General features: G+C 55.5%; 2 long non-coding RNA genes across 2 annotated transcripts, besides 7 other annotated features; one reads left to right on the forward strand and one right to left on the reverse strand.

Annotated features, from left to right (window-relative positions):
- Nucleotides 4600–5429: an enhancer, noted in NCBI's record as "H3K27ac-H3K4me1 hESC enhancer chr11:69249331-69250160 (GRCh37/hg19 assembly coordinates)". NCBI's record gives its function as "activates a minimal SCP1, AML or CMV promoter by ChIP-STARR-seq in naive H9 embryonic stem cells {active_cell/tissue: H9 hESC(naive)}" and the evidence as "EXISTENCE:reporter gene assay evidence [ECO:0000049][PMID:30033119]".
- LINC02952 (long intergenic non-protein coding RNA 2952) lies at nt 5594–15003 on the reverse strand. The gene is made up of 2 exons (NR_186235.1): nt 14689–15003; nt 5594–8890 (listed from the first exon to the last, which is right to left on the reverse strand). It is a non-coding gene; the product is annotated as a long intergenic non-protein coding RNA 2952 (long non-coding RNA).
- Nucleotides 7092–7923: an enhancer, noted in NCBI's record as "H3K27ac-H3K4me1 hESC enhancer chr11:69251823-69252654 (GRCh37/hg19 assembly coordinates)". NCBI's record gives its function as "activates a minimal SCP1, AML or CMV promoter by ChIP-STARR-seq in naive and primed H9 embryonic stem cells {active_cell/tissue: H9 hESC(naive and primed)}" and the evidence as "EXISTENCE:reporter gene assay evidence [ECO:0000049][PMID:30033119]".
- Nucleotides 8754–9585: an enhancer, noted in NCBI's record as "H3K27ac-H3K4me1 hESC enhancer chr11:69253485-69254316 (GRCh37/hg19 assembly coordinates)". NCBI's record gives its function as "activates a minimal SCP1, AML or CMV promoter by ChIP-STARR-seq in naive H9 embryonic stem cells {active_cell/tissue: H9 hESC(naive)}" and the evidence as "EXISTENCE:reporter gene assay evidence [ECO:0000049][PMID:30033119]".
- Nucleotides 11159–11348: an enhancer, noted in NCBI's record as "active region_5159". NCBI's record gives its function as "activates an Ori minimal core promoter by ATAC-STARR-seq in GM12878 lymphoblastoid cells {active_cell/tissue: GM12878}" and the evidence as "EXISTENCE:reporter gene assay evidence [ECO:0000049][PMID:35858748]".
- Nucleotides 13607–13696: a silencer, noted in NCBI's record as "silent region_3693". NCBI's record gives its function as "represses an Ori minimal core promoter by ATAC-STARR-seq in GM12878 lymphoblastoid cells {active_cell/tissue: GM12878}" and the evidence as "EXISTENCE:reporter gene assay evidence [ECO:0000049][PMID:35858748]".
- LOC124902703 (uncharacterized) lies at nt 14860–20123 on the forward strand. The gene is made up of 2 exons (XR_007062759.1): nt 14860–14999; nt 16376–20123. It is a non-coding gene; the product is annotated as an uncharacterized LOC124902703 (long non-coding RNA).
- Nucleotides 19888–20032: an enhancer, noted in NCBI's record as "145 bp enhancer 291 fragment used in the MPRA reporter construct; PK_construct_4303". NCBI's record gives its function as "activates an SV40 promoter by MPRA in K562 cells {active_cell/tissue: K562}" and the evidence as "EXISTENCE:reporter gene assay evidence [ECO:0000049][PMID:23512712]".
- Nucleotides 19952–19969: a transcriptional cis regulatory region, noted in NCBI's record as "GATA motif; enhancer activity is reduced when this motif is scrambled". NCBI's record gives its function as "necessary for full MPRA enhancer 291 activity {active_cell/tissue: K562}" and the evidence as "EXISTENCE:site-directed mutagenesis evidence [ECO:0005528][PMID:23512712]".

Raw genomic sequence — 21485 nt, forward strand, 5'->3', positions numbered from 1 at the left:
GGACAGTCACTCTGAACTGGCTACCAGGGTGCTGGGCACGGGATAGCTGTGGCCTAGCCAACCGCCTCTGGTCCACTCGAGTGTGTGTGCCGGGCATCCACTCTCCCACCCAGGCTCCTTCCCAGGCTTTCGGCGCACCCCTCAAACCATCCTAAGTCCCAGCCCCCCACCATGGGTTGGATCTGCCTGCCTGTTCCCTCAGGCGGCCCCAACGTGACTGGTCAGGTGAGTGCCCAGGGCCTTGCTGTGCTGTCCCGAGACCATCCAAGGGGCCGCCTGCCCACGCCACTTGGATAGCATGCGGCCTGGAGGTACTGCCCTGGGCTCCCCCGCGTTTAAACATGACCCCTGACCCTGCCCGCTGCATGGAACACACGGAGCCCTTCAGGGAACGGGGCCACAGCCCAGGCCCTGCCGCCTCCTATGGCCCCACTACCTGCCCCGACGCCTCGTGCTGCATGGGGTTCCCAGAGCTGAGGCAGCCAAGGGTCAGCCTGAGCACTGCCAGCGTCGGGGGCTGCTTGGAGCCTGACATCTTCCACCCCTCCATGCCGGGCCCTTCACACTCGGCTGCGAGCTTCCCCAGTGATGCCACGCTGATCCTGCCCACCACCTCAAATCAGGCCCACTCACTAGACCCACTTCACAGGAAAGGAAACCAAGGCTCAGCTTGAAGATGCCACTTGCCCTAGGGCGCTTGGAGAGACAGAAGGAGAGGCCAACAGCTGAACCAACGGTGACCCCAGGCCTCTGCTTACCCAAGCACCTGCTGATGGGCATTTGGGTGGTTTCCAGCTTGGGGCTGTTACAAATAAAGCCGCTGGGAACCTTTGTGTACGAGATTTGGGGAGGCTGTGCACTTTAATCTCCCTTTGGAGAATACCCAGGAGTGGAATGGCTGAGTCACACATAGATGGATATTTAGCTTTGGAAGAATCTGCAGAAGAGGTTTCCAAAGAGCTGGTACCCGTGGTGTGGGAGGGGTCCAGTGGCCCCATGTCCTCGCTGGCACTGAGTCGGTCAGTCATTTTTATTTCAGCGTCCTACTAGGCGGATACTGGGTCACGCTCACTGGGGTTCATTGGGGACTCCAGTTACCTATGCTAGGCTACTTGATGTCCCAGAACTCACTGCTGTTCTGTTCTTCCTTGTCTTTTTTTTAAGTCTTTTTTCTCCTTGTATTCCATTTTGGAGAATTTCTATGACTGTGTTTTTAAGTTCATTATTATTATTTTTTTTTACACTGTCTCATCTGCTGTTAATTCCTTGTATCGTATTGTTTTTAATCTTGGTCAGTGTGGGTTTCCTTCTCATCTCCCAGCCTTTCTCACCTGGGCAGGTGCAGTGCTGGCCTCTGGCCTGGCCATCTGCCTCCACTCACACCCCCTCCACTCCGTGCTCCCCACAGTCCCATGGCTGTGTGCTTTTTTCTAGCCATGTGGAAATTCCTCTGTTGGCTCCCTTTGCATTTTGAATAAAACTCAAATTCCTCTCATGGTCTACAGGGTTTTCACAGCTTGGCCTCCACGTGCTCCTTCCTCCCGAAACCCCTCAATGCCCCACGCCCTGACCCCTGGCACACTGGGCCTCTTTTCCTCCCTAAAGCACATCCCACTGAGTCCACCCACCTCTGAGCTATGTTCATACCTCTGTTGGGAATTACATTCACATTCACACATGCACACACACTCACACACATGTATGCAGGCACAGAAACATCCATGAAACCTGCCTGCACACAGACACACTCAGATAGACACGTGCACATGCACATCTGTGCACACACAGATACACAGGTACAGTCATGCTCAAAGCACACACAGACATGCATGCACACATGTGTACATGGATGAACATGCATGTGAATATATGCATACGTGTGTGTGCAGGCCCCACATAGCCAGCTCCTTCTCTTCCAGGAGACTCTTGACAACTTTTGTAGTTGTATTATTTGCTTGTCTGATGAACCTGGATATTTTTTCTTTCCTCCCCACCAGAATCCAAACTTCTTGAGAGCAGGGCCCAGCACATAGCAGGTGCTCAGCGAATGAATGAATGAATGAATGAATGAATTAATGTGCAGATGGATGGAGGGAGAGGCGGGTAAATAGGCTACACCTGTTCTGTTCAAAGGGGTATGGCTTTGAACCCTGGCCCTTCTGCCCCCACACCATGGCCACCAGCACGTCATTTAACCTCCTGGCCCCCTGCTTCTGGATGGTAGGATAACTGGATCTGACATGGCCCATGGTGGACGGTTGAGCTGATTCCCTGTCTTTCCCACTGGGCTGCGCGTCCCCTGTCCTGTAGGTCTTGCCCAGACGCCATCACCTCACAGTGTCTAGCCCACCATAGCTGCCCAGCAAAGATTTTGCTGAAAGGATGCCCGTCCTGGGGCTGAGGTCCCAGCAACAGCGGCCCTGCCCATCCAGCTATCTCTCTCCCTCTCCCCAGCACCTTCTCCCTCATCACTGCAGCTTCCATTTTGCCCTTACTCTCTGCAAAACAGCTGCAAGCCTGGGTCTCTTGTGCCTGGGGCCCAGAGCCCAGGGGAATGGCTGCTCCATGTGCCCTGAGAAGCCAGAATGTGGGTGGCCAGGTCTAGGGTGTGGCCTGGAGGAATCCGAGCTGCTGGAGGCTGCCACGTGCTCACTGCTAGTGACTGGGAAATGTGTGTGAGCAGGGGCCCTTTCTTTATGGTAACGTGTCCTCGGTGTGATGGTGGTCCCTGGAGAACTCCACTGTGCTTCTCAGCGGGCCCCCAGGAGGGACAGGGCCCTGTGCTCTCCTTCCAGAGTGAGGCTTGTCCACTTACCTTATGGTGCTAGGAACTGCCTGGAACGGGGGCTGTAGGGTCAGGAAGGGGGCTGTGGGGAGGGAGTGTGAGGCCCTGAACAGGACTGCTCTGCTGTGCTGCTCACATCCTGGTAACTCCATGCCTCCGTTTTCTCTCCTGTCAAATGGGTGGCAAAGCCACACCCTTTTGAATAGAATACCTGCCCGGTCTTCACCTGGTGTGGAACCCAGCAGGTGTAGCCCTTTCCCAGAAGAATAAAGCAAGAACAGTTTTACTCTTAGCTGATCACAGTCACCAAGTCCAAAGGCTGGGATCCACGTACTGGGATGTCTCCTGTCACGCCCACCCAAAAGGGAGCCTCTTGTACTGCAGTGTAGAGGGGTCTTGATGCTCTCACTCTCTCTACCCATCAGTCTTTTCCACCCTCTGCCTCCCTGGGGACACAAGGCTCTGGGGCTCAGAGGGTAACCAGGGGCTCCACCCTGAGGCTGGGGGAAGCGGTTTCTCCCTGCGTGTCCCTGGATGGGCCCTGGATCTCCACTTCTCCCTGGCGGAGTAGCTTCAACCTAAACCCTGACTCTCATGACTAGAGACACCATTCATGTCCTCTCTCTGAAGTACCATCTGTGTCACCAGGTCTCTCTCTATGGACCGGGGTGCTGATGGGGGTGAGGCTGTGGATCTGCAGAGACAGGATGCACAGGTCTGTGGATGGATTCCTGATCGTGGATATGGACAGGGAGAAGCAAGGAGATTGTAGAGGTTTCTGGATGGAGCTAGTGGAGGGGTGGCAGTGGGATTTACTGAGATGGGGAAGATGGGAGTTGAGTTGCCTGGGAAAGGATTGGACACCAGCTTGGACACGATCTGCTTGACATGTCTGGGAGACCCCAAAGGGAGATGTCAAGTGGATGGCCGGATATATGGGTCCAGAGTTTGGAGGAGAGGTCATGGCTGAAGAGACAAATTTGGAAGTCATTGGCATAAGGATATTTCAATCCATGGGAACTGATGAGGTCACCCAGGGAGAAGAAGGGTTGAAAGAGAAAAAAACCAAGGAACCCTCAAATCCCATGGGACCAGAAGCCCCAGGCGATCAGGGATCATAATGTTTCACGCATCGCTGCACTCCAGCCCCAGAGGAGCGGCCCCCTCAACAGGCACCCACCAAATCCTTGCTGACTGCAGGAGCGATGATGTCTGGGGGACTCCAGGGGACCAGCAAGTGGGGCAGCAGGAAAAGCGGGCAGTGGAGAACTGGAGATGCTGGGAGAAGAGAGTACTAGGAGGACGGAGTGGCCTCCTGCAGGGGAGGGGAGCATGGGACTTAGGATGAGGGCTGGGGTGGCTGGGGGGGACAGTCTCTGATGGAACCACCTGCATAGGTTTGTGGGCTAAGGCCAAGAAGTCCTTGGGGAGTGGGGAGGGGCAGGGTATGATCACAAGGGGGAAGCAGCAGAATGAGACCTGAGACGGGGCAGATATTTGACACACTGGGAGACTGAGGCCTGGGGAGGGGACATGGCTGCCCAGGCCACACCGCCAGTGACAGTAGCTGAGACTGGTACCTGGGCAGCTGAGGCCAAAGTGCAGAGGCTCAACCTCCGCAGGACATCTGCAGAGCCGTGAGGATCTGCCGCGACTTTCAGGAGTTTTCTTTCTTTTTCTCTATTTGTGGAATTAAAATTAAATGCTCAAATCAGCTAGGGAAGCTGGAGCGCTGGTCCCAACCCCGACAGGACCCACGCCTCCCCATGCCCAGCCCCACCCCGGCCCAGGCAGGCCACTCTGGATTTCCAGGGCCCGACCCTTCCCTGCTCTGGCTGGCTCCGACTTCCAGGCCCCAGGCCCTGGGGAGGGAGGGCTCCAGACTGAATTCCTAAGGCCGGATGGTGCAGGGTGGGAAGACCCACCTCCTGGGAGGTTGCTGGTTCATGAATTCGAAGGATCCTCCTTTGAATTTTCAAGAGGTGACACCTGAGACCTGCGAGAAAAAGAGCAAAGCTGCCACTGCCTGGGAAACCCAAGGCCAGACAAAGGCAAAGGCAGGAGGCTGGTCAGGGCCCAGGAGTGGGGCGAAGCTGGGGGGCTTCAGGAAGAGTGGGCAGGCCAGGCCCACGTGCTCTCAGCTATCCTGGAGGCCCAAACTCATGGGCCCCCAGGGCCCAAATGCACCCTTCACAGCACTCCCTAGAGAAAGGGGCAGGAAGGAAGGGGCAGGCCCTACTCCAAAAGTCGGGACCTAGAGCCTGCTGGTTCCCTCCAGGTTCAGTGCAGGGCTCCCAGCATTGAACTGAGGAGGGGACCACACCTCATCCAGGGGAACAGATGAGGTCACCCAGGGAGAAGAAGGGTAGAGAGAAAAGAGAAGAAACCAAGGAACCCCCAAATCCCAAGGACCGGTGCTGGGAGCCCCACATTGAACTTGCTGGGGAGGCTTACAAGTAGGTGCCATAGAAGACCAGAGACCTACCCAGGCAGGGGTCTGCATCCTGTGACCATGCCCTCACCTGGGACCTCAAGGGGGATGTGGGCATCGGACTGCCCCAGGCACTTGGACTGCTGCTGTGTGACCATGGGAGGCTCACAGCCCTCTCTGAGCCTGGGCATCCAGGAGCAAAGTCCCTTGGAGTGAGTGATCAGCACCTAGCGAGGACACGCTTCCTTAAAGAGTTGCCCATATCCTTACCCTGGGCCAGATGTTAGGAATTTGAGCTGCCGGCACAGGTCAGGGGCCAGCTCGGGGCAGGCACGGGGTGGGAGGGTCCACCCAGGAGCAAACTGCATTCTTGTAGGTTTTTTTTTTTTTTAACGGTCTGCCCTCTTGTCCTTCCCCTTTTGTGTTTGTCCCTTTCTTCTTCTGCCACCCTCTTCTGAGGCTTTTGGTATCTTCAAATTAGTTGAATGCTGGGACGACAACGGGTTTGGAAACACACAAGTCAACTCTAATTTGATCCTCCACATTTGGAGGAAGAGACAAGACTTTTGTCCCCCCGGGGCAGTGCCTCCGCCACCGCAGTGACGTTTCAGAAGTCTTCCAACAGCTCAGATTCTCTGGCAGTCCCTCTTTGCATAATCCACCGGAATCTGCCAGACAAAAGCCACTTGGGAGTGAATTTGGGATATAGGCAACATGGAGGAAGGTGTTCTGTTGAGACAGATGTTCTCAGGATATCCACAGCCTCAGATCACACCAAGAAGAGCAGGAGCTCATGTTTGGGCTCTGAACCCAAACCAGCAGCGACTTGAACCAGAACGTGGGGCTGGGATTCCCCCAGGTGTGGGCTTGTGTGGGCTTCTGGGCAGCCCCATCTCAACAGAGTGTTGGGAAACCGAGCTAGGTCCGTCTTGCCTGTGGGATGGCAGGGGTGCCTCTGCTCCAGCAAGGTGTGGCGGCCGCTGACCACTCGGCCAGGAGTTCTGGCTGCCCATGGTGCAGAGTGTCCAAGCATGACCCAAGGGGTCTTCCCAGCCTGGGGCCACTGACGGGCAGGTGACGCAGATACCTTGCCTGGCTTGGTGCACCTACAAATTGTATCCTGGATTTGTTAGCCATTCAGCAATGGTCTGCTAAATGATGAGAACAAGCCGGCACCCCAGGAATTGCAGGTGTAACAGCAAATGGGATAAAGACGCCGCCCTCACAGGGCTTACCGTGGAAGAGATGGGAAATCCAGACCCACAGCTAAGGGCAGGGCCAGAGGGTGCTGAGTGCTGGACGAAGTGAGACGAGGGAAGCGGGTGTGGACTGAATTGCAACCCCCCTCCAACAAGATGTTTGTGTTGAAGTCTTAACCCCCAGGACCCCGGAACATTTCCTGATTTGGAGATAGGGCCTTTACAGTGGTCACCAAGTTCTGAGGAGGCCATTAGGGTGGGCCCTAATCCAATATGACCGCAGTCCTACTAAAAGAGGAAGTTCAGGCACAGAGGCCGCATGGGAGGGAAGCTGATGTGGAGAGGCATGGGCCACCTGCAAGCCAAGGAGAGAAACCTGGGCCAGTTCCTTCCCCGCAGCCTCAGAAGGAGCCTGCCCTGCTGACACCTTGATCTTGGACTTTCATTTCTATCAGTTAAGCTGCCTGGTCTGCGGATCTTTTGGCCTAGCGTATGGGGCTTGTACTCCACACGTCTCCCAGGGCTCTGCAGGCCAGCACCGGGGACCCCACCCATGTTATGCTCCACTTTCCAGGGAGGGAAACTGAGGCTCACAGAGGTGAAGTCACCCTGACAAGCCCCACAGACCATGGCCCAGGCTTGCTAGACTCTAGGGACAGAGCCCTTCTTCCCCTCAATGAGGCCACTGACCTCTCCAGGTGAACGTTGTTGGTGCAGCAGGGCATGAACCAGCTCACGTGCCTGGCCCACTGGCCAGACCACAGCATGGCTCTAGCTGCCCTGTCCCTGGCTGCATTGCTCACAGCCGACAGGGGCAGACAGGTGTAGACACAGCCGCCCAGCCCTGCAGCCCGGCATCCCAGGAATGTGGTCAGCCACCCACACCACTGCCCCCACCCCAGCCAGGCGTGCTGTGTCAGCCCTGGGCCCTCCTGCCCTTCCCTCCAAGCCCCGCAGGTCGCCCAACTCCCAGGGCGGCTGCATTCACTGTTCATCCCCCAGGGGAAGAAAGGCCGGGACCAGGGGCTGGCCCTGGGCCTGCACCAACCAGGGATCCTGCTCTAAGGACCTGACAGCTGCTGCTTTGCCCTTAGAGGAAAGGAGACCTTTAGAGAGACAGGAGGAAAGAGAGAGCAAGAGAGAGTGAGAGAGAGAGAGAGAGAGAGAGACAGGGAGAGAGGGAGAGAGAGAGAGAGACAGAGAGAAAGGGAGAGAGAGAGACAGAGAGGCAGAGACGGAGAACACTCCAACCCAAATATCCTGTCCCAGTTTTGAGCACAGCTTGGAGGTGTCCCCCTGCTAGGGGAGGGGTTCCAGACTCCAATGTGTCTCTTTAGTGAAGAATGCCCTGAAAGCCTTCTAGAGAATTGTGGGTGCTTCTCCCACCCACCCCATCTTGTTGGGAGCCTTGCTGATTGAATACCTGGCTCCCCTGAATATGTCTCGGGACACTGCAAGTCAGAGGGCGGGCACAAGTGCCGGCACCAGGCTTCACCGCCACAGTGACCCTCAGGGTGGGTCTGGGGGGCAGAAAGGTCACGCCCTTCCTTTGAAGACAAGGGGCCAACGGGGGTGGGGAGGGGTCTTCCCTCTGAACACCTCCTCCTCCCCTCTCTTGCTGCACTGGGGCCCCAGCGGCTGCCTTTCCTCATACAAACCAGGTTGTACAGCCTGATCCACTAGGGAGAGCCTGGCGTGGGGGCAGGCGAGTCCTGACTGCAGGGGAGACGTGCAAGTGAGGAAGGGTGGTCCTGAGGAAGGGTGGTCCGCAGGGAGACTTCAGCCTCCAGAGACAGGTGGCCGCAGCTCCCCTAAGTCGCATCCCATCCCCTAGTCCAAAGCGCAGTGTCTGGTCACAGTGAGGCCCCAGAAAGGCTGGGCCTGTGTGGACACACTTCTCGCTTATTGCTTCCACTAACCCCACAAAGAAGACAGCTCCATTTCACAGATGAGGAACCTGAGTCGTGAGAGGTTAAAAGACTAGGGTGAGGGCACGGGATTGCAGTGGGCAAAGCCAGGCTCCTTGCACGGTGCGCCCTGGCACTCACTCAGAGGAGGCTCTGAATACAAAACCAGGATTGCACTGAGATAGCCCTGCTGTTTCCGCGCGGACGTGGAATGAAGTCAGCCCTGGCGATGCCAGAGAGAGACAGGCGGAGAGACGATCAGAGCCTCCCGGCTCCTAGTGGCTCAGGTGTGGCCCGGTGTGAAAACCTCAACCGTCCCAGAATTGAGGTGTTGAAGGCTCCTCTTGTTCCCTGATCAGCCAGACATTGGCTCCGGGACCAAGGCGGGGCCCACGTAGGGTCTGGTTGGTGGGGTGGGCCTGCCCATGGCCCTGACAGCCCCCGTTGTCCTAGGCAGGGAGTGGGGGACAGGTATTCAGGGCCTGGAGAGGTATTCCCAGGACAGGCGGGCTGTGGGGTGTGTGGGCGCTCCCGGGAGGTCCTGGCAGCCGCTGAGTGCAGACCAGGCCTGCAGACAAAGGAGAGAGTACAGACACAGTCAGCCCCCAGACCCACCGCCAGCGCCCGGGTGCACTGGGCCCTGCGTCTAAGGAAGCCCCTTACCCCTTGGGTTTGCCTCTTTTCTTTGGAAACACAGCAAGACAGACCAGCCTGATTTCCTGCTGCACTCTGTACAGACGTCCCCACACGCCCCCAGGGTCCTCCCAGGGACCACCCCAAGGCTCCATCTCCCCCTCCACCCCTTGCAAGACACATATTTACACCCCCTCCCAGGACCACCTCTGCATCCCTGAACCTAGTGGGAATCCATTAGCCCACCTTTGTCCTGCAGGGAACTCTCTCACTCCCAGCCCTAGAGCCCCTGCTGGCTCCTGCTGTCTGCAGAACAAAGCCCTGAGACCTCCCACACCTGGCCCTCCCAGCCTCATCCTGAGGCACTCAGCCCTCCACCCCCAAGGCCTCCAGCACACTTGTCATCTTTCCCCTGGAGGCCCCACACCCTGCCAAGGTCCTGCACCTCCCTGCATCTGAGCTTCCCACGTGGACTCCCCTTTCTCGCAGCAATGACTCCCCTTAAGACCCAAATTAGCACCCCCTCCTCCAGGAAGTCTTCCAGTTGTCCTGGTGGTGGCTTCTGCCTGTCCCTCCTACTTAGAGCCCTGGAGTGGCTGAATGCTGCACCCATTCGCCCCCGCAACACCAAAGAGTACGGCCAGGGAAACCCGTGAGTGTGACCTTATTTGCAAAAGGAATCGTTGTGCATGCAGGGAAGGCAAAAGATCTTGAGATGAGATCATCCTGGACTAGGGTGGGCCCTAAATCCAATAACAAGTGTCCTTATAAGAAGAAGAAAGGACAAAGAGAGACCGGGGAGAGGGTCTGCTGCGTCAAGCTGGCTTTGAGGCCGAGCAAGGAGCCAATGACCTTGGGTGGACCTTGGCCACACCTTGGCTGTTGACCCCGGCCCAGGCCCACTGCTCCCACCTCTTGCTTTCCTCAGAGAGGCCCATGAAGAGCAAGGCCACATGATGATGGAGGCAGAGGGTGAAGCGATGAGGCCACAAACCAGGGAACGCCAAGGGCGGCTGAAGCTACCAGAAGAGCCAGGAGAGGAACCAGGGATGGGTTCTTTGCCTTACAGCCCTCAGAGGCGCCAACCCCGCTGACACCTGGATCTCCATTCCTAGCCTCCAGAACTGTGCAAGAGTACGTTTCTGCCTCTTTCTGTAGGAAACCACCCAGGGTGTGGTGATTTGTATGGCAGCCCCCGACACTCTGGCAAGCTCCATCCCAGCGTCCCCTCCTCCCATCAGCTGTGACCTCATGTTCCTCTCCTGGACTCTGTTGGACTCATGGCAAGAATATCTCAATAAACGCATGTTAAAGGAATGATCTGTCAGGGGTGCTTCACCACCTCATGCTTCCATCTGAAGACTCAGCTCCTCCCAAGGGCTTATCTGGATGGTTCATCCAACTTCTTGCAAGCATAATAAGAGCAGGAAGCCAGGTGTGTAAGAATGATGTACTGATCAGGATTCTGGTTAGGCTATTATAGCAAAGACTGCAAAATACAGTAGCAGAAGCCTGGCTGTTGATTTCTTTTTCCCACAGGAGCCCACATAGTCAATCCAGGACAAATATGGCAGCATGGGCTGGGCATGGTGGCTCACGCCTGTAATCCCGGCACTTTGGGCGGCTGAGGCAGGTGAATTACCTGAGGTCAGGAGTTCCAGGCCAGCCTGCCAACATGGCGAAACCTTATCTCTACTAAAAATACAAAAAATTAGCCGAGCGTGGGGGCAGGCACCTGTAATCCCAGCTACTTGGGAGGCTGAGGCAGGAGAATCGCTTGAACCTGGGAGGCGGAGGTTGCAGTGAGCCGAGTTCGCGCCATTGCACTCTAGCCTGGGCAACAAGAGCGAAACTCCATCTCCAAAACAACAACAACAAAAACCAAACAAACAAAAAACAAAAAACAAATATGGCAGCATGATACTGGTCACCCAGGCTCTGTCACACCTGAGGGTTGCCCTGTCTACGAGGGCCAAATTGACCCATGCCTCATTTATACCCCAGCCTGTGGAAGGCGGAGAAGAAGGGAAAAGCTCATTGGTCAGAGGCAGGATGTGGCCACTGCAATGACTCCTTCACTCACAGATCTATCATGTTGCCCAGCACCATGGAGGATGGCTCACAGTCCATTCAGCCAGGGTATGGCATGGCCGGACCTAGCCACAAGAAGGCTGGGAAATGAAGCTTTCGCCAGGCACCCGCCGCCCAGCTCAATCTGCTCTCTGTAGAGCAGTTCTCAAAGTGTGGTTTCAGGAGGTCTGAGAGGTTGCAGTTAATTTCATGAAGACACTGAGGCATGAATTGTCTTTTTTCCTTTCATTCTCTCTTCATTCTCTCATGACTGTGCAGTGGAGTTTCCCAGAGGCCATAGGACCCATGATGACACTGTCACTCTGAGAGCTAACAGAATGTATGCTTGCAGAATCATGCATTTTACAAATTTCTATGTTTTCATTTCTAACTCAGTAAATATCAGTAGATAAAACCCATATCAACAAAATCTCTCTGGGGTCCTCGATAACTTTTAAGAGGCAAATGGGTCCCAAGACCAGAAATTTTACAAACTGCTGAACTAGAAGGTTAAAAACAGATACTGGGCATTAGGCTGGCAGAAATAGATGCTACAGGCCAGGCAAGGTGGCTCATGCCTGTAATCCCAGAACTCCAGGAGGCCGAGGTGGGTGGATCAACTGAGGTCAGGAGTTTGAGACCAGCCTGGCCAACATGTTGAAACCCCGTCTCTACTAAAAATACAAAAATTAGCTGGGTGTGGTGGCGCATGCCTGTAATCCCAGATACTCAGGAGGCTGAGGTAGAAGAATCGCTTGAACCCAGGAGGTGGAGGTTGCAGTGAATGGAGATCACACCACTGCACTCCAGCCTGGGCGACAGAGTGAGACTCCATCTCAAGGCAGGCGGATCACCTGAGGTTAGGAGTTTGAGACCAGCCTGACCAACATGGAGAAACCCCGTCTCTACTAAAAATACGAAATTAGCCAGATGTGATGGCGCAAGCCTGCAATCCCAGCTACTTGGGAGGCTGAGGCAGGAGAATCACTTGAGCCTGGGAGGCGGAGGTTGCGGTGAGCTGAGATCACACCACTGCACTCCAGCCTGGGTAACAAGAGCGAAACTCCATCTCAAAAAAAAAGAAAAAAAAAATAGATGCTACAACTGGAAATCTACATGAATTTGTCAGGCCGCCCCCTGCTGCATACTCATGGCCTCACGAATCTACCTGGGAGACCAGAGTCTGGCTCATAGAAATTTGGGAGCAGGTACATTTCTCACCAGTTCTGATCCTAACCACTGCAGCAATGAGTCAGTGCCTGCCCCAGTGTTTAGTGATCTGCCCGCATTTTTTTGCTGAAGCCTCCTCACACCAGTCCCTGTGGGCGTGCAGCACCTGGGTGTGCCTTTCCCCTATGGCATCAGGCAGAGATAGGGTCCAGTCCTGGTCTCGCCACTCCCAAATTGTGGGACCCTTTGCAGATTACTCTGAACCTCAGTTTTCTCATCTTTAAAATGGGGCTCATCAAGGGGTCACAGGAAGCTGTTTGCACAGTTCTAATTTGGAAGTTCCATAAAAGGTCACCCCAGCCATGCTCAGGGTAGGTGTGTTGGCAGAGAAGTCCCTGCCGGGGAAGAGTCAAGCTTCTGAAACACTCCGGAATCTCACTCTGCATCTCACCAGCCTTCCATGACTCCCCAGGGCTTGGGACACCTCCTCACTTTGGCATTCGAGGCCTTCCTCATCCTGGCCTCAACCCACCTTGCAAAAGCACTTTCTAGACAGCTTTGAATTCTGGCTTCTGCTGAGTCTAATTTTCCCGAGTAGGGGGTCTTCCCCTGAAGAGCAGGCCCATTCTGTCAGCCACACAATCACTTCATCTGGGGAGGTGAGGCCGGAAGCTGGCCCATTAACCACGCTCTCCCCAATGAGCATTTGTAAACACATGCCTTCTTTATAACATCAGCAAACAGAACATGTTTTCCTACTTAACAGGAAATGCAGCGGAATGGCTGGGTTCCCCGACAGGGGCCCCAGCCGCTTCATGCACGTGGCATATGAAGCTAGGACAAGGCCAGTGACCAAGAGGGGTGGCCAAAGCCCTCTGGTTTGCAGGCGAAGTTCCCAGCAGTTTGCACGTGTCCGCCCCCCCCAGCACTGGCCAGGAAGGGGCCCCACCTCCTCCCACGGCCCTGTCTTTGTCCCCAGCAGGGCTGCCTGCTTACACGGAAAGGCTGCCGTTCTTTCCCTGGAACTGGAATCAGCCCGGGCTATAGGCAAAGAAATTCATTTCTAACTATGCAAGCCCTTTCACTGTCACAAGACCTTGAATGTCAACCTTGGAAGCCCAAGGGCTATTGTCAGGAGCTCCAGCCAAGCCTCAGATTGACACAATTGCACCAGAACCCTGAACAGTCTGGGGGAAAGAAAAAATCCCCTGCTCCTCCTCCCTCGGGGGGAGGCGGCCCCCGCAAGGTAGGCGGTGGCTGCAGGCAGCTGAGGCTGCGCCATTCATGGCTGCAGGACCGAGGCCCCACGCGGAGCGGAGACCAGGCGGCCACAGCCGCTGATTGGGCGTCGCGGCCGGGGGTTCAGCCAATCGGCTGTTTGGGAAGCGGGGCCATTCATGAAAGCGCAGCGGAGAGGAAGCGCGGGGGCGGGGAGCCCGGGTTATCACCGCGCCCCGCCAGCCCCATCACGGCCGCCGTGCCTTCTGCCGGGCCATGCTGCGGCTCGAGCGGCGCTGGCTCCTCGCAGGGAAGACCCCGGCCAGAGGCTGCGGAAGAGGCCAGGCTTTCTGGAAGCGCCTCCCAGGCAGGGCCTGGCAGCCGAACGCCGCTTGCTTCGGTCAACTGTGGCCATGAAGTCATTTTTTTCCCCTGCTGATTGAAATCATCTGTTTTCAGTTCCCTGACAAATTCATTGAGTTCCCTCTGAGGCTGGGGCCCCTCGGCTGCTGAGTCTCAGTCTGTAGCTGCGGCCCAGACCCACACAATTTCATCTTCTTGGATTTACATGGTCTCCGGTTTCCAGAGCCCCAGTGAAAGACGCATTTGTGTGGGAGATGTGGGGTTGGGTTTAGCAGCCCTGGTCCTGGGGAGAATGCTTCTAAGATGGCTATCTGCTGGGCTCTGGGCCCCAAACCCTGGCCCTCGGGTCTGTAAGGTTCCTGGGGCCCCAGATGACGGCATGGCCAAGAACGGCGCAGAATCCTCCACATCAGCTCTCTGAAAAGGGAAATGGCCCAGTGGAATGCTGGCCTCTCCCTGCAGGATGAGCACTCATTTCCTCTTGGGATCTAGCAAGTAGCTTAAAAATACACTCATGCAAAGGGCCCACATAGAGCTATACCTGTGGGGAGGGGAGGGGTCTGCTTTTGCATGTACCTCAGGGAGGTGTGGGGTGGCAGCCTGCTGACAAGGGCCCCGACCCCACCGCCTTGCCTGTGTCCTCCTCTATAAAATGGGCGTAGGAGCACCTAGCCCTTGGTCATGCACGCGCCCAGGAAAATCACAAACGCAGGGGCCCAGCATAGTGCCTGATACGCGGCGAGAGTTTAGTCACCGACGTCGGTTGTTGGTGGTGACGTGAGCAGTGACATAGAGGACAAAAGCGATGCTCAATTCCATTTCCGGGCGCGACACAGCTCCGGCAGGGGGCGCTGGGCTCTGGAGCCCTGGGGACCCCTGCTTCTCACACCACCGTCACCCCCAGCCACATACCTGAGCCACTGGGAGCATGAGCACCAGGGAACTTTTTCTCAATGGAAAGATTTCTTCACAGCAAGTGTTTCGCAAGCCTCTCTGAGGCTGTCAGTAATGAGTCCTTACTTCTTGACTTCCAAGTGTGTTACATAAGCCTAAGAGGTTGGTCAAAACACAACACACACACACACACACACACACACACACAAATGTGGCTGGAGAGAGTGGACGGGCAGGCTCTGCAGCTGTTCAAACTTTCTCGGCCACCTTCCCAGGCCATGAGGACTCCCCACTCATGGGCCTGTCGGAACCGTGCTGGGGAATGTGAGGTATGAGATCCGGGAGAGGAGAGCCCAGTAAGCCAGGGCTGCGGGGGAGACGGAGGGCGGGGCCCGGACACGGGCTTTTCCCAGCGGCCAGCACCCCTCCCGCAGGACCTCGGGTTCCACCCCAGCAGCCTCTGTTTGGTGGGGGGCAGAGAAGGGTGCCCCTGCCTGTGGGCCCCTCACGTTGGCTCTGCAGCACCCACGCAGGAAGAGGGTGCACACAGAGGGACGCGGACACCAAGGCCTGGGGTTGGACAAAATTGTTGCCCGCCACAGCTGGTCCCTCCACAGGCCACATAAGCCAGGGAGTTGGGGGCTGCCCGGCACAAATAGAGGAAGCAGACAGAGGAGCTGGGCGGCCTGGGGCAGCCGGATCCTACCACTCCTCATTTCTGCTCTGGGCTGGACCGGCTTCCCTTTTCTTCTGTTGTTTTAAACGGTTGGTGTTGGGATAGAAAGGCCCATGGGTCTCCTTCTGCCTCTGCGTCCTGGCTTCCACAATGCAGACAAAACTTAAAAATTCTCAGGGGCTTCTCATTTTAGCGTGGGTGGCAGAGGCCTGGAGAAGCCCGAGGTCACTTCAGACCGGCCACCTCCTTGGACCTTCCCTTCCTGACATAAAATGATGACTGTAATGGAGGCTCTGCACTCAGCCCGTGGAGACAGGCCAGAAGCGCTTTGCTACAGTACTAATATAGCGCACGTTTTGCTCATGAGACGGCACTCAGAAGTTCTCGGCATGATTAGAAAGTGTATCGGTCAGAATGCGCTAGGCCATGCTATGGCAACAAACAGGCCCCCAGATCTCAATGGCTGCCAGCAGGATCAGCAAATGGTTTCTGTAAAGAGTGACGTGTACTTTTGTTGTTGCTATTGTTTTTGGAGACACAGTCTCACTCTGTTGCCCAGGCTGGAGTGCAGTGGCGCGATCTCGGTTCACTGCAACATCCACCTCCCAGGTTCAAGCAATTCTCCTGCCTCAGCCTCCCGAGTAGCTGGGATTACAGGTGCCCACCGCCATATCCAGCTAATTTTTGTATTTTTAGTAGAGACAGGGTTTTGCCACGTTGGCCAGGCTGGTCTCCAACTCCTGACCTCAAGTGATCCACCCGCCTCAGCCTCCCAAAGTGCTGACATTACAGTTGTGAGCCACCGTGCCCGGCTACTTTTAATATATATTTTAGGCTTTGCAGGCCATTCAGTCTCTGTCGCAACTCCTCAACTCTGCTATTGTAACACAAAAGCGTGGCAGACAGCACACCAATGAGTGGGCTGCATTCCTATAAAATGATATTGAGAAATTGCCCACAGGCTGGCGTCTGCTGACCGCCAGCTTCAGATAACCAACGTTTGTCTTCTTCTTGTGCCACACATGCAAGGAGTGAGGGCCCGCTCCAGACGTGCTCCAGGGACCCAGGCTGATGGAGGATCGAGTCCCACCCAGACCTCCATCATCATGGAGGCCAGATGCACGAGCTGGTTCTTAAAACTTCTGCTCACAAGTGACTGAGACCTCTTCCACTCACATTTCACTGGTCAATCAAGTCATGCCACCACACCTGATTTCAACGGGGATGAGAAGAACAATTCTATTTGCTCAGAAAGCAGAGATCTGGAAATTTTCGTAAACAGTCTTTAGTCTTCAACCATCCAAGCTAGAAGACCTGGTTTCTGGGCCCCTCCTTTGCCACCAACTAACTTCGTGTCCCCCCGGCAGGCCTCCTCCCTTCTCTGGCCTGTAGATCCCCACCTGCAAAAAGGTGTGGAGCATGTTCCTCAGGTTTTTCTGGGCCTGAGAACAGCACCACTATCATGGCCTCTGCTTTTCCTAATGGGGGACAATGAATTTATTTCCACTGCTCTTCCACGGAGCAAGGACAGGATGACATTCAGGCCAGAGCATGACTCAGCCTTTGGGGAGTCTCCCAAATATCCCAAGTTTTGAACCTCCACATTCTTTTTTTTTTTTCTGAGATGGAGTCTCTCTCTGTCACCCAGGCTAGAGTGCAGTGGCGTGATCTTGGCTTACTGCACCTCCACCTCACAGATTCAACAATTCTCCTGTCTCAGCCTCCCTAGTAGCTGGGATTACAGGTGTGCACCACCACGCTCAGCTAATTTTTGTATTTTTAGTAAAGACAGGGTTTCACCATGTTAGCCAGGCTGGTCTCGAACTCCTGACCTTAGGTGATCCAACCACCTCGGCCTCCCAAAGTGTTGGGATTACAGGCGTGAGCCACGCCGCCTGGCCTGAAGCTCCACATTCAACTGTTACTCTGGGAATGGTGTGTGGGCACAGCTGCTGCTCCTGCCAGCCAGGCATGAGTTTCCAAAGCTGGACCCAGGCTTGGTTCTGGTTGGGGCTGGGTGGAACTCCCGGGAGGGGAGGAGAGAAGGGAAGTTGGTTAATGATGAGGGATAAAGTGGGCAGGAGAAAATGGGCTGATGGTACAGCTCATCCAGCTACTTGTCCAGGCCCCGTCAGACCATCAGAAGGGGGTCGACGAGGGAGTTCCAGTGGCCTTGGAGTCCTGTCCTCCTTGCTGTTCTTGGAATTGCTTGGATATTTCACAGCCTCAGGGCCTTTGCAGGGTCTGTGGCTTCCCTGAGGTGTCCATGTGCCCCTCTGCCTCACCTCCTTCAAATCTCAATCAACTTTCAAGGCCTTCCCCAACCACTCTCTCTAAAACAGCAATCCCTTCCCTCAGCTCTGGGGCCTCCCTGTGTCCCCACTGCCTGGGATTGTCTCCACAGCTGTGATCTCCTTCTAAATGACTTTGGAGTTTTATTCATTTTGACTATGAGGTTTCCACTCTCCAGAAGCTGAGCTGCGTCAGGACAGGAGCTTTCGCCTATTTTGTTCTCTGCATCACCCCTGCACCTGGATGAGAGCCTGGTGGGTAGTAGGACCTCTGTGCATGGTTGCCAATTGAATGAATTTATATCGCTGAGGCCAGGGAGCCACAAGCTACCTCTGAGTCAGCTGTTAAGGAGGAAATATAAACAAACTCCAGGCCCAGCCATGCCAGCCATGCCAGCCGTGCCTGACAAGCACTGTGGCTGCACGGAGCCTGCTCAGGTGTGCAAAGGCTCACATGACAGTGCAAAGCCTCCTTGCAGCTCACCTGGCCATCTGGGGCACAGCAACACTCAGGCAACAGAAGGCACCTCAGCTGATGGCTGAATGCGGTGGCTCATGCCTGTAATCCCAGCACTTTCGGAGGCAGGAGGATCACTTGAGACCAGGAGTTTAAGACCAGCCTGGGCAACATAATGAGACCCCCACCATCTCTATTATTTTTAAAAACAGAAGGCACCCCAGCTTAGGTCTAGAGAGGCTCCCCCTCCTTAGCCTCCCACAGAGCATCATCTGCAGTTTTGCAAAACCGTCCTGTGTTCTCTGTGCCCTGCGGAAATGGCCAAACAGCTCCTCAGTGCCCCAAGAGATAGAATCATGAAAAAAGCAGCTCGTAGTTCAAAATGGAAGAACATGATAAAAGCAAGGCCCCTCCATGGGTGTGAAGAGATTTCTCTTTTACAGAGGAAATTTGGGTGGGGGAGGCAGGACTTCTGCTGGATCCACAGAGGATCTTCCATTAGCAAAAGGACAATCATTGTGAGTGAAAAGTGAAAATTCTAAACTTAGAACCAGAAGGTGGGGAAGTGAAGAAAGTTCTTCCTTATCTTCCCCCAACCCTTGTGGTTTTCACCCCCATCTCAGCCCATGTCTTTTGCCCCTGACTTCCCAGGTGTGGGAGTAGACTGAAGATGTGGAACGTGTGGGAGGCTAGAGAGTAGGGAGAATGTGGGTCTGCGTCTTTTTTGGAAGGATTGCAGCCAAAAATGCAGCGTTATACAGCAGCCAGAATGCACTCAGGTGTGGGGGCCAATGCCGGCCACACCTTTCCAGAAGGTTCTGTTGGGCCCCTAGGGGACCAGGCAGCATGGGGACTGCAGCGGAGCCCGGGAGGACAAGGGCTGGGCAAGCTCTGTTACCCATTTGTTGGGCTCTGAGAGGCTTGGGCCACACCTCTGAGCCCCGTGTCACTATAGACATTGAGAAGTGGACTCTCGCTAGCCCAAACTCAACTTTGTGGCTCTTGGAAAGGACAGGGCCTGTCACGTGATACTCCTGGCCCAGCACAAAGCTCCCAATACAATGGACCATGCTGTGTATCCACGGGTGGCAGCGAAGGCAGTGTGCTGAAGTCTGGGCAAATGCATGGCCGATCCCAGGTTATTACCATATTGGATCGTGTGGTCTCTGCTCCAGGCTGGCTCGGTTCAGGGTTGGATGAGTTTCTGCATCCCCCCAACCCCGGCCCAACTACCCCCAACCCTGCATGCTAATGGAGGCGGAATTAGGCAGAATTCTGCACGCCTCCAAGTCAGGCGTTTCCGATGACTCTTCCTGTGGGAGTCAGAGGGCAGGATGGGATGGGGTCAGCTGAGCCCTACATCTGAAGCCTTGCCTCTAAAAATAGCCCTTTCTTCCTGTGTCCAGGGCTCTGCCACGGGCCCTGCAGGAAAACGTCTGTTTCCAAGGCGGACGGAGCATCTGGAAGCTCCGAGCAGCCACGCGCTTATGCTCAGGCCTCAGCCAAGTGTCACCGGGGCCCTGGGGGCACCATCTGGCTTTCACTTCCTCGAGGCTCCTGTCCCCTTCACTGAATAAATCCTGCATGTTTAGAGCCTGGGTCACAGCAGATCCAGCGGGTGTGTTGGGTGCAGCAGGTGTGCATCCCAGGGGGCGCTGAGGCGAACCTACCAGAACCTTCTCTTCCTGCTGCCCTGGGAGGCTGTGTCTGCCCAAGCCAGCCACCGGGCCGGGTCCACTGCCTGGGGATGGCTGTCCCCTGAGCTGCTGCTCTGTCCCCACCACGGAGGCTCGTCCAGCTGCCCGGGCATGAGTCATGGGCCAGCCCTGGGCGCTGCTGCGGATTCAGAAGCTCGAGCCGTTTCCTGCAGATAAGCGACAAGCGCCAGGGAAACCTGGCGGGGGTGGCCGCCCTGTGAGATAGCGCTTCCTTCAAAGCCCCCCAAGCACTAATTAGCCATTCCAAGCATAGTTTCAACAGCATTTAGGGATTTCCTCATCAAAATAAACTTCCTCCCATGTTATCTTCATTTTTGGCATCTGATGGGATCCTTTTTTTGTCTTATTTATTTATTTATTTTCTTTCTCTCCAAGATTCAGGGCGGACACACTTAGTCCTGCTGTGGTTGGATGGGCAGGTGAGGACACTGGGATGCTGGCAGCTGGCCCATCCACCTCTTGTCCGTGGAAAGTGGCAAGTCCCCACCCCATCTCTGCTCTCAGAGGAGCTTCCGAGGGGCCTGGTTCTGTGGTGAGGACCAGGACGGGTGGTCCACAGTGGCCTGCCCCACCTCTCCTTAGCTCCCCAGACCGAGGGGCCGGCTAGCCCTGCAGGCGATTTCAAGCCTTGGGGCTTCCAGGGTCAGCCTCCGCTGGAATGGTTGGGATGCCATCAAGGCAAATTAGTGCTGGGGGCTCCCCCAGCCCTGTGGGCCTCCTGGCATGCTGGGAGTCAGATGGTGGACTTCCCCTTGGGCCCCAACAGGATTGCTGTGGAAGTCAGGGCTTGAGATGAAAACTCAAGATGGAAAAGCTACTCATTTGCAACTTCCTCCTGGAAAGAAACCCCTCGCCGGTGCCTGTGGGTTGAGCCTCCTCAGCCCGGCAGGGCAAAGGCCTGCTTTGTGTACCGAGTCTCCAGGCATCCTGGCTGTTGCTTCCTGCGGCTCCGCACACGCCTTGGAGTGCGAATTTTAGCCACAATAGGTGATTTCCTGAAAGATCTGCTGATGCCTGGAGTTGACAGGCTGCTCCGAGATGGAACTAGATAAGACGAGTTTTGTTTGGGGCTGGACAATTTGTCAGGAAATGAGGTAGTGGTTGGTATGGAACTAGTGTCACTGTGGATTATTTTGGGGGAAAGTGTCCCTGGGAGGCCTCCATCAGCCTTCCAAACACAGCCAGGTGGGGCCATGCACACAACCTTGCTTCTGGGGGAATAGGACACCGGCTCCGGGAGATCCTCCTGATGCCAGCAACGGAATAGGTGGGGCCTACTCTCCAAAGAACAGCTGCCAGGCCAGGCCCAGCTCATGACAGGGTACGGAGCCTTCACGTAACACCAAGGGCGTTTCTGCTATGGAGCAGGGTGCTTGTGTTCTCAACCAAAGGCTGGCTGCATACAGCCCAGGGTTGCAGTGCTCACAGCCCAGCAAAGAGCTGGGTTGTCAGGAACCAAATGAAAAAAGGAGGGAAGAAAAGGGCAGATGGAAGGATGGAAGGAGCAATGGATGGATGGATGGATGGATGCATGGATGCATGGATGCATGGATGCATGGATGGATGCATGGATGCATGGATGGATGGATGAATGGATGGATGAGTGGATGGAAGGAAGAAGAAATGGGTGGTTGGATGGATGGAAGAAAAGATGGATGGATGGTGATGGATGG

This window comes from Homo sapiens, chromosome 11 (genome assembly GCF_000001405.40).
Source record: "Homo sapiens chromosome 11, GRCh38.p14 Primary Assembly".
NCBI classification, from domain to species: Eukaryota; Metazoa; Chordata; class Mammalia; order Primates; family Hominidae; genus Homo; species Homo sapiens.